The sequence below is a fragment of the Homo sapiens genome, chromosome 3 (genome assembly GCF_000001405.40).
Source record: "Homo sapiens chromosome 3, GRCh38.p14 Primary Assembly".
Classification (NCBI taxonomy): Eukaryota; Metazoa; Chordata; class Mammalia; order Primates; family Hominidae; genus Homo; species Homo sapiens.
In genome coordinates this window covers 141,989,425-142,002,598 of record NC_000003.12, presented here as the reverse complement: position 1 = coordinate 142,002,598, position 13,174 = coordinate 141,989,425, and the positions used below count along the sequence as shown (strand labels likewise).

At 39.8% G+C, this 13,174-nt stretch overlaps 1 protein-coding gene across 27 annotated transcripts in view, besides 1 other annotated feature; it reads left to right on the top strand.

The window, feature by feature from the left end:
• TFDP2 (transcription factor Dp-2) overlaps positions 1–13,174 on the top strand; it is a 205,117-nt gene that overhangs the window by 146,946 nt on the left and 44,997 nt on the right. For 16 of the 27 annotated variants that reach the window (XM_017007100.3, NM_001178139.2, XM_011513107.3 and 13 more), the window contains 2 exons: positions 7,458–7,579; positions 9,014–9,061. The exons of 5 other annotated variants lie outside the window; for them this stretch is intronic. In XM_017007100.3, the coding sequence (XP_016862589.1) occupies positions 7,458–7,579; positions 9,014–9,061 (170 nt within the window). Of the gene's footprint in view, positions 1–2,227; positions 2,348–7,457; positions 7,580–9,013; positions 9,062–13,174 lie in introns of those variants that run through there. 6 more of the 27 variants (NM_001375775.1, XM_047448779.1, XM_047448780.1 and 3 more) reach the window with 3 other exon arrangements.
• Positions 1,633–1,826: a silencer, noted in NCBI's record as "fragment chr3:141719615-141719808 (GRCh37/hg19 assembly coordinates)". NCBI's record gives its function as "represses an EF-1alpha promoter that drives an FKBP-Casp9 reporter gene in an ReSE screen in K562 erythroleukemia cells {active_cell/tissue: K562}" and the evidence as "EXISTENCE:reporter gene assay evidence [ECO:0000049][PMID:32094911]".

The following is a 13,174-nucleotide window of genomic DNA, read 5'->3' as shown; positions in this document are numbered from 1 at the left end:
GAGATTACCTCCGTGGTCATGAACAGAATGTTGGCACAAATATGGATGGTAAAGGCCATTATAATGAGGTATCAGATAGGAGTGAGGGACATGTTATTGGAAACTGGAGGAAAAGCCATCCTTGTTACAGAGTAGCAAAAGGCTGGGCCCAGTGGCTCATTCCTGTAATCCCAACATTTTGTGAGGCCAAGGCAGAAGGATTTCCTGAGCCCAGGAGTTCAAGACCAGCCTGAGCAACATAGTGAGACCTCATCTTTATCAAAAAAAAAAAAAAAAAAAAACACTAAAAATAAAAAATTAGCTAGGCCGGGTGCAGTGGCTTATACCTGTAATCCCAGCACTTTGGGAGGCCAAGGCTGGCAGATCACTTGAGGTCAGGAGTTCGAGAACAGCCTGGCCCACATGGTGAAACCCTGTCTCTACTAAAAATACAAAAATTAGCCGGACATGGTGGCGGGTGCCTGTAATCCCAGCTACTTGGGAGGCTGAGGCAGGAAGATCACTCGAATCTGGGAGGCTGAGGTTGCAGTGAGCAGAGATTGCACCACTGCACTCCAGCCTGGGCAACAGAGCGAGACTTTGTCTCAGACAAAAAAAAAAAAAAAAAACCAGGCATGGTGGCACCTAGCCACTCAGGAGACTAAGGAGAGAGGATCACTTGGGCCCAAGAGTCCAAGGCTGTAGTGACCCTGACAGAGTAAGACTCTATCTCAAAAAAATAAAAGAACTAAACAACAACCAAAAAAGTGGCAAGGGACTTCACTGAATTGTTTTCCTGTTTTAATGTTTTGTGGAAGGAGGAACTTAGGAGCCGTGAAATTGGATATTTGGTCAAAGAAATCTCTAAGCAAAGTGTTTAGGGATCAACATGGCTTCTCTTGGCTGTTTATAGTAAAATGTGAGAAGAGAGAAATGAATTAAAGATATAATTTATCATCAGAAGTGAAGATTTGGGAAATTCTCAGCTTGGCCATGTAAAGAATAAAAAAGCATGTTTTGGAGAGAACACCAAAAGAGTGGCCTAGTCACCTTTTGATAAGGAGATTAGCGTGCATGGGTGGAAGCTTGGTGTTGTTCATCAAAACAATGGAAGAATAAACCCATAGCATTTCAGTGATTACCGGTGCTGCTCCTCCCATCACAGGCCCAGAGTGCCAAGGCATGGGGGACAGAACTATCAAAAGAGGGGCTTCAGGCGCTAATGAAACCCTGGCAATCCCTTCCTGGCACTGTGTCAAGTCTGCTCCCCGAATTTTGGCACAGTGCTCCTTAGCCATTCCAGGTGTGGCTCCAGTAGGCCCAAGTATAGTGGCTGCTCCTCTAGAGGGCACAGGTGGTGAACCTTGGCAGTGTCTGAGTGATGCCATCTCCAGTGGGTGCAGAGTGTACAAGCTGCGGGGTATGATAACTTCCACCTAGATTTCAAAAGATGCCCTGGAGAGCCTTAGCAGATCCTGGCAGAGAATTGCTACAGAGGTGAGGCCACCATTGGGAACCCTCACCAGGGCAAAGCTTGGTGGAGCTGAGGTGCGCGGGGTTGCTCCCTGAGGCCCTAGTCTAGTAGAGCTTCCAGCATGCAACTCCAGCCTGGGAGAGCCACATGCAGAAGACTCAAACTCTAACCCAGGAGAACTGCAGCATGGGCTGCCCCCAATAAAGTCATGGGGGTGGGGGCCCCTGGTACCCTGGGGGCCCAACTCCTGCTCCAGTGTGTCCAGAAGGCAGGATATCAAGTCGAAGATTATTCTGAAGCCTTAAAAGTTAATGTTTGCCCTGTTGGGTTTTGTATTGGTTGGGACCTATTATCCCTTTCTTCTTTTCTATTTTCTCCCTTTTGGAATGGGAATGCATGTTCTGTGCCTGTCCCATCATTGCATTTTGGAAACAGGTTGGATTTCACAGACTCACAGCTGGAGGGGAATTTGCCTCAGGATGAATTGCACCTTTGAGTCTTACCCATATCTGATTTTGGGAAGGAGTTAAGACTTGTGAGACTATTGGAATGAAATGAATGTATTTTGCCTGTGAAATAGACATGAATTTTAGAGGGCCAGGAACTGGATGCTGTGGTTTGAATGGGTTCCTCCAAAAATTCATGTTGAAACCTAATCCCTACTGTGGTGGTATTAAGAGGCGGGGCCTTTTGGGAAGTGATGAAGTCATGAGGGCTTCACCCTTATGAGTGGAATTAGTGCCCTTATAAAAGAGGTTGAAGGGAGCACCCTGGACCCTTTCTGCTATTAGGATGCAACCAGAAGGCATCATCTTTGAAGCAGAGAATAAACCCTCACCAGGCACTGAATCTGCCGGCACTTTCATTTTGGACCTCTCAGCAACCTCCAGAACAGTGAGCAATAAATTTCTGTGGTTTGTAAATTACCCAGTTTTGTACTCCTTGCAGAAGACTTTAAAGAAAATTAATTAATTACCCAGTCTAAGGTGGTTTGTTATGGTAGCCTGAATGGACTAAGACACCCAGTTACAGCCATTTATCGCTTCTCCTCTAACTCCCTCATCCATGATTTTTAAAAAAGTTTTTGTTTAGTTAAAGAATTCTTGGATTAGGCTGGGCGTGGTGGCTCACGCCTGTAATCCCAGCACTTTGGGAGGCTCAGGCAGGCAGATCACGAGGTCAGGAGATCGAGACCATCCTGGCTAACAAGGTGAAACCCCGTCTCTACTAAAAGTACAAAAAATTAGCCGGGCGTGGTGGCAGGCGCCTGTAGTCCCAGCTACTCAGGAGGCTGAGGCAGGAGAATGGCATGAACCCGGGAGGCGGAGCTTGCAGTGAGCTGAGATCACGCCACTGCACTCCAGCCTAGGCAACAGAGCCAGACTCCGTCTCAAAAAAAAAAAAAAAAGGAATTCTTGCATTACAAACTCACCCATTTGCTTCTTAGCCTTCTTTTTGTGCTTGCCCTTTGAACTTTACATGTCTTTTGGAAGCCAAATCTTAATGGTAGATAGAAATTTCAAAAGGCCCCATGAAAAGTTTTGTGTGGTTATGGAAACTAGTTTAGCAGTACCTATTTTAGTTTGAGATACTTGCCCTTTTCTTACAGGCTGTCTTATGGTTATATGTTATAGATCTTAAGATTATTTATACAGTTGACCTTTGACCAATGCAAGGGATAAGGGCACAGCCCCTGTGCAGTCACAAATCCATGGGTAGCTTTTGACTCCCCCAAAATGTAACTATTAATACCTTATTATTGACTAGAAGCCTTACTATAACATAAATAATCAAATAACACATTTTATGTTATATTAATGTTATTTCATATGTTAATATGTATTGTATACTGTATTCTTACAATAAAGTAACCTAGGGAAAAATATTACAAAGAAAATCATTAGGAAAATACATTTATAATTCATTAAATGGAAGTGGATTATCATAAAAGTCTTCATCCTCGACGTCTTCACGTTGAGCAGGCTGCGGAGGAGAAAGAGGGAGGAGTTGGTCTGGCTGTCTCAAGGGTGGCAGAAGTGGAAGAAAATCCATGTATAAGTGGACCTGCCCAGTTCAAGCCCATGTTGTTCAAGGGTCAACTGTATAAGATAATCTAATGGCTGTCTTATTTTAGAAGAGTAAAAACTGCATGCTTCTTATAGTGAAAACCAAAATTCCATCAAATAGTGAAATCTCTTAATATACCACTTTATAATTTTGTAATTTTTTTTCCCTTTAGAATACATATGCTGTCTTGGCTTTTTTTAACTGTAGATGGCAGTAGCACATAAAATATGTTGATTGAGGGCAGGAAAATGTTCAGAGTAATGTTCAATTGCTATGTGATTTTCCCAGAGTAACTAATTCTATTGTCAGAGAAACCACATGATAACATTTAAGTTAAGGATGTCTGGATTTTTGGTAGGAGGACTCTGAAATTTAAAACTCCATTTTCCTTAGCATATCAAGTGAATATTAAAAGTATATTTTTACCTCCAACTTCAGTACTTCAAATTTTTTTTCTTTTTTGACAGAGTCTCGCTCTGTCACCTAGGCTGGAGAGTGTAGTGGCACGATCTCAGCTCACTGCAGCCTCCGCTTCCCAGGTTCAAGTGATTCTTCTGCCTCAGCCTCCTGAGTAGCTGGGATTACCGGCGTGCACCACAACACCCAGCTGATTTTTTTTGTATTTTTGGTAGATATGGGGTTTCACCATGTTGGCCAGGCTGGTCTCGAACTCCCTACCTCAAATGGGAGCCTACCTCACCTGCCTTAGGCTCCCAAAGTGCGGGGATTATAGGAGTGAGCCACTGTGCCTGGCCTGGGATTTCAAAATTAAGGTTCAGGGTTAGAAAGCATGACCGGCTCATCACCCTATAAACCAATTTTCTTATATTCTGTGGCTGTTCAAGTCTTACCGACTTTCCTTCTGTTTTATTTCTTACGTTTCACTCTCATTATCCTAGTTTAGGAACTTACTGTATCTCACATACTCTTAGGCCTTATCTTTCCTATTCAGGTGCGTCATCTCTCTAATTTGTTCATGTAGGAAATGTTTATTAAGGAATTGCTATGTACCAGGCCCTGTGCTAAGAGAAAGGAGCAGAGTGTTGCTAATCACTCTCCGATCAGCCGCAGCTAACAATCTGACAATGAGGGAGGGAAAAAAAGAAAATGTAAACTAGAATTCACTTTCAAAGTCATTTTCATAAAGATAGCCAGTTTTTCTCTATGTCCTCTTTCCCTTCCTTCTCTCTTTTTTTCCTTTCTTTCTCTTTTTTTTTTTTTTTTTTTTTGAGATGGAGTCTCACTCTGTCGCCCAGGCTGGAGTGCAGTGGCATGATCTCTGCTTACTGTAACCTCTGCCTCCTGGGTTCAAGTGATTGTCCTGCCTCAGCCTTCCAGGTAGCTGAGATTATAGGTGCCCACCCCCACGCCCAGCTAATTTTTGTATTTTTAGGAGAGTTAGGGTTTCACCATATTGGCCAGGCTGATCTTGAACTCCTGGCCTCAAATGATCCGCCTGCCTTTGCCTCTCAAAGTGCTAGGATTACAGGCATGAGCCACCATGCCCAGCTCCTTTTTTTTTTCTACAAAGTCCTGTAAATCAGCAAAACCAAGCATGTAGGCTGCTAATACCATATAGAAATACTGCAGTAGTAATACAATCTGTTTCAAGGGTAAATTGGAATGCTTAGAATAGCTTTGTAGACACTGCTGTTCAAGGAATAGGGTTGACCAGAGGCTAATCAAATAACTCACATTTTTCTTTATAAGTTGTCCATCCAAGGTCAGCATGATAGAGAATGTGATGTAGTGATTGGTGGAAACTATGCTGTATTTTTTTAGTGGATTTTATATAAACCTTTTAGCATATCAATAAATGAAGTTACTTTTTCCCCTATTATTTTAAAAATTGAGTATTTTATCCCAGTTAGTAAATATTTATTGTACCTTTCCTATGAGCATCCCCTACCACTGTGTTAAACCCTGCAAAGGACATAGTTTAGCAAGGTACTCGCCACCCCTAAAGATCCTGCACTGAAATGGGGGATGCACTGAAAGTGGGGATGTGGGACCAGATGTGTGGAGTGGGAAGTGCAAGCATACTTGGAATGCAAGGCAGAATTTGATGAGAGGTACAGACACATTGTCTGTTTTTATGTTTTCTCATGAGGCAAACTTCTGAGTGCCTTATTTAATACCCTTGGTGTATTGTACATAATCAGAACTCTCCAGACATCTGTCAGTATTATTAACTTTTGTTTTTATTTTTTTAAACTATGGAATGAACGGATTGAAACTATTTCATAAACATTTCTAGGTGCTAACATCTTCCTAGCCCCAAGCTAACATAGTCAAACATAAACAGACTCTAACTAAGGTCTTAAATACTTGGTAAATGAATAAATGTTGACTAGACTTTAATAACTAGGTCTGAACTATTTTTATGCTTCAGAGGTTATTGTTTGACTCTTTCCTTCAAATGCAAATAAAGAGCTTGAAATGCTTATTAATCCTTCCCTTCAGTTATGTATGGAGCAAGTTAGCAATGAACTTAATGATTCACCCTGGCTGCAGAAACATGTTTCATTTGGTCAGGGAGATAAAAATTAATTAGCATTTTGTCTTGCATAAGGCAGTAGAAATAGAACTATTTCTCTTGTTTGAGGACTTATTAACAATTACTTGTAGTCCCTGTAGATATTTTTCATTCTCAGTTGGGACTTAAAACTTACTATCATGAACACTTTCAAAACTTTACAAAAATAGAACTATATACCCAGCAGTTGCTTCAACAATTATCCACATAGGGGCCAATCATGTTTCATTAATATCCCCATTCACCGGAGCATGCCTCTTCCCCTTTTTTTACATGAAAATACTTCTAAAGCTATTACTAGGCTGCTAGTTTTTTTGTATTAATTATTATAAATGTCTTTGGGAAAAACATGTTTTGTTTTGTAACCAGTGAAAATTTTAAGACCTGGTAACACATATAAGGTACCTTTCTAAAAAAGTCTTTAGGGGTTCCATTAATCCCCTTTCTGGAGTCTAGCCTTAGGAAATAGAAATTAAGGGCAAGGTCTTTGTACAAAAATGTTTATCACAGCATTCTTTATAATAGTGAATAATTAAAAATGCATATATATCTAATAGAGAATAATAAATCCACATGGTAGAATGTTTTATGGTCTTTAAACTATCTTCAAAGAGTATTTAATAACATGAATACTCTTTTTTTTTTTTTTTTTTTTTTTTGAAATGGAGTTTTGCTCTTTTTGCCCAGGCTGGAGTGCAGTGGCGTGATCTCAACTCACTGCAACTTCCACCTTCCAGGTTCAAGCGATTCTCCTGCCTCAGCCTCCCATGTAGCTGGGATTACAGGCGCACAGCACCATACCTGGCTAATTTTATATTTTTAATAGAGATAGGTTTTCACCATGTTGGCCAGGCTGGTCTTGAACTCGTGACCTCAGGTGATCCTCCCACCTCGGCCTCCCAAATGCTGGGTTTACAGGCACGAGCCACCGCTCCTGGTCCAATACTCTTTTAAAAAAGGATAAAATTGCATCTATATAATAATCCAAGCTGGATAGTATCTTTGTGTATACTGTATGATGGACTGTGGAAGTGTGATTTGCTGTTGCCCTGGTTCTAGTAAATCAAGCTGTACTGCAATTCATTTCCTCAGTTTCAAAGAAAGCTTTTCATTTTTCTGATTTTTAAAGCATTATCAGTTCTCTACTTAATCCTTCCAAATTGCCATTTATTTGCTGAAACCTGCATTGTGACCTCATGTCAGTATTCAGGATACTTGTGCTTTAAGATCCTAGGATATAAGTAAATCAAAGGCATTGCTTATATTTTTAGATGACTGACATTAAGTGCCTTTTAGGCAGCAAGGTTTCCTCATATGTAGGTTAGCAATCAATGTTATTTTCTGCCTGTAGGCTTTTCTTAATAATTAAGAATATTATATTCTTTGTTCCTAACTTTACAGATTATAAGCACACCACAGAGACTAACCAGTTCAGGAAGTGTTCTGATTGGGAGTCCATATACCCCTGCACCAGCAATGGTTACTCAGACACACATAGCAGAAGCTACTGGCTGGGTCCCTGGGTAAGAGTGTTGCAAGTTACTATTTTTAAAACCTTAAAAAAAGTTTAGACATTTTTTTCTTACTATCTTGTCTTCTGTTCTTGTTTTAGTTTAGTTCTTAAAAACAAATGTTTTTCCTTTAAAATCACCTATTTTATTTCACTTTATATCTTAGATATAAATAATCTCTGGAATAACTATTTTTAAACAGAAAAAAACAGTGCAATAACTCATAACTAAACCCTGTGACTTTTTAAACTCTGGAATAGGACTACTTTTATTATTATAATATTTAACTGCTTTGGAGATATAAAAACTATATTTTTATATATTTTTAACTCACACAGAAAAGGAGTTAAATATTAAGTGTTGGCTATACTCAGAATTTCCCCTATGAATTACTTCCATAAAGACCAGAAAAGGGTAGGAAAAGAGGCCAGATAAATTTTTTATTAAATTTCCTCTTCTTTTTAAACGCTGAACAATTGAATCAATATCCCTTCTGTTACTAATTTGTCACTTTTAGTACAAACTTCTATATGTTTCATCTTTGCATGTAAAATACTTATACCTTTCTCCACTCTTTATCATTTTAGTACCTCATACTTCCATAAAAGAAAAATAAGTAAGATAAATTACTCAAAACCTCATTTTGTTACCTTAGACGTTTTGTTACTTTAGAAGTTATTTACATGGTGGAATACTGCATTGGTGATTCTGTCATATGTGAGTTTGAGCAAGCAGATGGTAAGTCTTAGTTAAGTAAGAATCTCCTTGCTTCAAGGATATTAAGTGAATTAATAATCCTGGCAAAGTGCTTTAATATGCATACATATTAATATACATAAATACATGCCTACACACATGTACAAACACAAATACATTAAAGACAGAAGAGTTTTGTATATGCATACTTTTCCATTATCAAATGAGCTGAAATGACAGAATTACCTGGAATCCTATGGGTGTTATTCAATCCTTATGAACATTCTTATGTAGATCAAAGGTTACCCTGGATTTCTCTATAGCCTTGAAAGATTATAACGTGAAAGCCAAGCCTGTGCCAGCAGTGCTGGCCCACTTTGGAAATGACCAGGGTCTGGATGTTTTCAGCCCCATTTGTGCTTTATATTGGAGGTGGCAGGATTGTCTGGTGTTTTTATAGTCAGTATTTCGCAGAGTGAAGAAAATTTTTCTCTATCTTGTTTGCAAGTCTGCAGTGTTTTCCTCTCTAGCTAGTCATTGAGCTCTTTTCAACTTATGATTATTAAGTTGTGATACCTTGTTCACATGATAAAATTAAGATTTATTTTATGTACCTATCTTTTGTATTTGCTAGTTTTAGTCTTTGAATATATTCAGTGTATAATTTTAGACAAGTTATAATAAAGTATTAATGAAATTAAATTGTATTTAAGTATGTATTGTTTTTATGCTATCTTTTTTCCTTTTTAGTGATAGAAAACGGGCTAGAAAATTTATAGACTCTGATTTTTCAGAAAGGTGAGTATAAGTCTAACTATTTTGTTTGGAAGATTTGGCTATATAGAGAGGCTGTTGGCATTGCCACTGCTCTGGTTTAATGCGATGTTTTTCTTCATGTAACTTTAACTTCTTTCAGTTCTTGCCATTATTTCATTCTGCATTGAGTGCCCCAGTTCACTCATAGTATCTGTATGGTTTCAGTAGAAATTACCCTGTGAGCAGATTGACTATTGGTAGTATGTCCTTTAGTCTCTCCTCTCTTTCCATCTGGTAAATGAAGAGTTCTATCAAAGTGAATACTCCACATTACCCTAACATGCCCAAAGTTTAACAATTTTTTCTTTTTTCTTTTTTTTGAGATGAAGTCTTGCTCTGTCACCCAGGCTGGAGTGCAGTGGCGTTATCTTGGCTCACTGCAACCTCTGCCTCCCGGGTTCAAGCAATTCTCCTGCCTCAGCCTCCCAAAGTGCTGGGATTACAGGCATGAGCCACCACACCCGGCTAAGTTTTTCTTAAAACATTTATAAATCATAACAAACTTGCTTCTTTCTTAAGCAATATGTTGGGCATAAGGAAAGTTCATGTTATCTTAGAATATTAGGACAGTGGCTTCTCCATTCTGGCTGTGCATCAGAATCACTTGTAGTCTGTTAAGTAAAAAATAAATGCCTGCCATGTCAGAAACTCCTACATTTTCTAATTTGCTATCTCTGATTTGCTGTGCCCTGAGAAATTAGATGGCCAAATATGTTAGAATTCAGTCTAAAATGAAAGTGACTAGGTTCTGAGTGAGAACCATGGGAATATGTATAAAGGATGTGTGTTTTCTTGCCCTGACACTAGTGCTGTTTCAGTTCCTTGGTGGCTTTTGTTGTTTGCTTCTTGGTGCTAATCGTTTTCAACAGATACAATCACTTCTGAGGAGCTGCTGTATCATAGAAATGAAATGTTCTTTACTCTCTAACAGAAAGTCCTCTTTCCAACTCAAACTGGTCTTTACTGGTGTTTATCCTTCGAAAGGGCAACAGAACAAGTTCTTGCAGAGGTATTTAGCAATGTTTAAGGCCTTAAAATGGAACTATTTGTCAGTTATGATTGGTGGCACCTCTGCACTGCAAACAGTACAAAAACCAAGATTCTCTTTATTCTCCTTTGTAAGTAAGAATTCTAAAGATCTATAAGTGAGAACACATAAAAGTGTTAGGTTAAATTTATAGTGTAGCCATTGGTTCAACTTTCTCTTTCTACATTTGGTTCAGTGGCTTTTTTTCCTAGCATTTTTTTTTTATCATTTTTTAAAAAGTTTTGAATATAACTTTTCTGTAATGTATCCCCACCACCCGTCTGTCAAACCACGAAGATTGCTACATGTATTTTTCTTTATTCCTTGTTCTAAATAAGATTTAGCACAGTGGTGTTTCATTTTTTTCTTTATGCTTTTTTTTTCTTCTTTCTTTCTTTCCTTCCTTCCTTCCTTCTTTCTTTCTTTCTTTTCTTTCTTTTTTTTTTTTTTTGAGATGGAGTCTTCCTCTGTCTCCCAAGCTGGAGTGCAATGGCTTGATCTCAGCTCACTGCAACCTCCACCTTCTGGGTTCAAGCGATTCTCCTGTCTTAGCCTCCAGAGTAGCTGGGATTACAGACATGCACCACCATGCCCAGCAGGTTTTTGTCTTTGTGTAGAAACAGGGTTTCACCATGTTGGCCAGGCTAGTCTCAAACTGCTGACCTCAAGTGATCCTCCTGCCTTGGCCTCCCAAATTGCTGGGATTACAGGCATGATCCACCACGCCCAGCCTCTTTTGTTTTTAAGACAGGGTGTCACTCTGTTGCCCAGGCTGGAGTGCAGTAGCGCAATCTTGGCTCACTGCATCCTCTGCCTCCCAGGCTCAAGTGATTCTCCTGCCTCAGCCTCCCAAGTAGCTGGGACTACAGGCGTGTGCCCGCTAATTTTTGTATTTGTAGTAGAGATGGGGTTTCACCATGTGGCCAGGCTGGTCTTTAACTCCTCACCTCAAGTGATCCACCCACCTTGGCCTCCCAAAGTGCTGAGATTATAGGCATGAGCCACCACACCTGGCCTTTTTTTTATTTTTTACTTTTTTGCTAATTAGGTCAAGGGTTAATTTTATAAACAAGACTGAAATATTTTGTTGATTTAAATGTTCTGGTTGACTCTCTTTTTAACAAGAAGTGAAACTTTTACTATATATTTTATATAACTCCTTATTAAAATGAAATACATTTATTGCAATTTATACTTGAGATACAATACTATACATTTAAGTTGTATATTACTTTTGTAAACCATAAAAAAATTTATTGGGAAAATGTCAAAAGATGGTTTGTAGATTCTAGTTACGTGCCTGGAAAGAAAGAAAAATACTTTTTTATTATTTGGGTGTAATTCTTTTGAAACTTCAAAGGAAATAATCAATAAAATGTAACATGCTTTTCAAACCATAGTATATTAGTGGGGTTTGTTTGTTTGTTTGTTTTTTGAGATGGAGTCTCACCCTGTTGCCCAGGCTGGAGTGCAGTGGTGTGATCTCGGCTCGCTGCAACTTACGCTTCCTGGGCTCAAGTGATTCTCCTGCTTCAGCCTCCCAAGTAGCTGGGATTACAGGCGTGTGCCACCATGCCCGGCTAATTTTTTGTATTTTCAGTAGAGACGGGGTTTCACCGTGTTAGCCCAGGATGGTTTTGATCTCCTGACCTTGCAATCTGCCCGCCTCAGCCTCCCAAAGAATTGGGATTACAGGCATGAGCCACCGTGCCCAGCCCAGTCCATCTTAAATTGGAAGCTCTCTATTTAAATCTTAAATATATAAGGTTTATACATTTTTTTAGAACCTGAGCTCTTTCAAACACCAAGACCCTCTCTTTCCAAATAACGTCAAAATTTGGCCACAGGATGTAAACACTCTATAAGTTCATAAACCAAACAAAGAAACCAGGAGGAAGCATTCTTTATCAAAGGAACTAAATTAAGAAGCTAAAACCTAAATAAGAAAATAAAACCACAGACTGGGCACGGTGGCTCACACCTGTAATCTCAGCACTTTGAGAGGCTGAGGTTTTTTATGGTGAAACTTGTCTCTACTAAAAATACAAAAATTAGTTGGGCATGGTGGTGGGTGCCTGTAATCCCAGCTACTCAGGAGGCTGAGGCAAGAGAATCGCTTGAACCCGGGAGGCAGAGGCTGCAGTGAGCCAAGATCACACCACTGCACTCCATTTTGGGCAACAGGGTGAGACTCCAGCCTGGTCAACACAGCGGGACTCCGTCTCATGTTTACTCCCTACCTCCCTCATGCTCACTGCTAAGATCTTATTGAAATTTTAGTATAAAAAATAATTAAAGGGGCTGGGCATGGTGGCTCACGCCTGTAATCCCAGTACTTTGGGAGGCCAGGGTGGCCATATCACTTGAGGTCAGGAGTTCAAGACCAGCCTGGCCAACCTGGTGAAACCCTGTCTCTACTGAAAATACAAAAATTAGTCAAGCGTGGTGGCACATGCCTGTAATCCCAGCTATTCGGGAGGCTGAGGCGCAAGAATTGCTTGAACCCAGGAGGCAGAGGTTGCAGTGAGCCAAGTTCGTGCCACTGCACTCCAGCCCCGGTGACCGAGGGAGACTCTGTCTCAATAATAATAATAATAATTATTATTATTATTATTAAAGTAAATCTGTAAAAGTGCTGTAAAAAATGATAGGGGTATAGATTTTCCAACTAGAAAATGAAAGCTAGTGTTATTATAATGAAAAGTGAAAGTAGAGAAATCTACATCGCATATTGCGTGGAAGAAGTCAGCATCAGAAATGGTAGCCATTGTACCCTACATTGTCACAGAGAGGCTCCAGGCTTAAAGTTGACCTGCGTAGAAAGCAAGAATGAATTGTTGGAGGAAGTAAGGAGGGCGATTGAATAAAGACTTTTAGCAGCTGGGCCAGCTGAACCATCCCAACCCTTCAAATCCCCTTGTACCTCTTATCCCACCTCCATACACAGAGCAGTTGCCCCAAAAACATTTCTCCCCTAGGGCTGAAACTTGGAGAACTGATCCCAGGGAAACAACTGCCTGCTTCAGCTGGTTTAAGAATTTTAGTATGCCCCAGAACAGGTTTTCCTC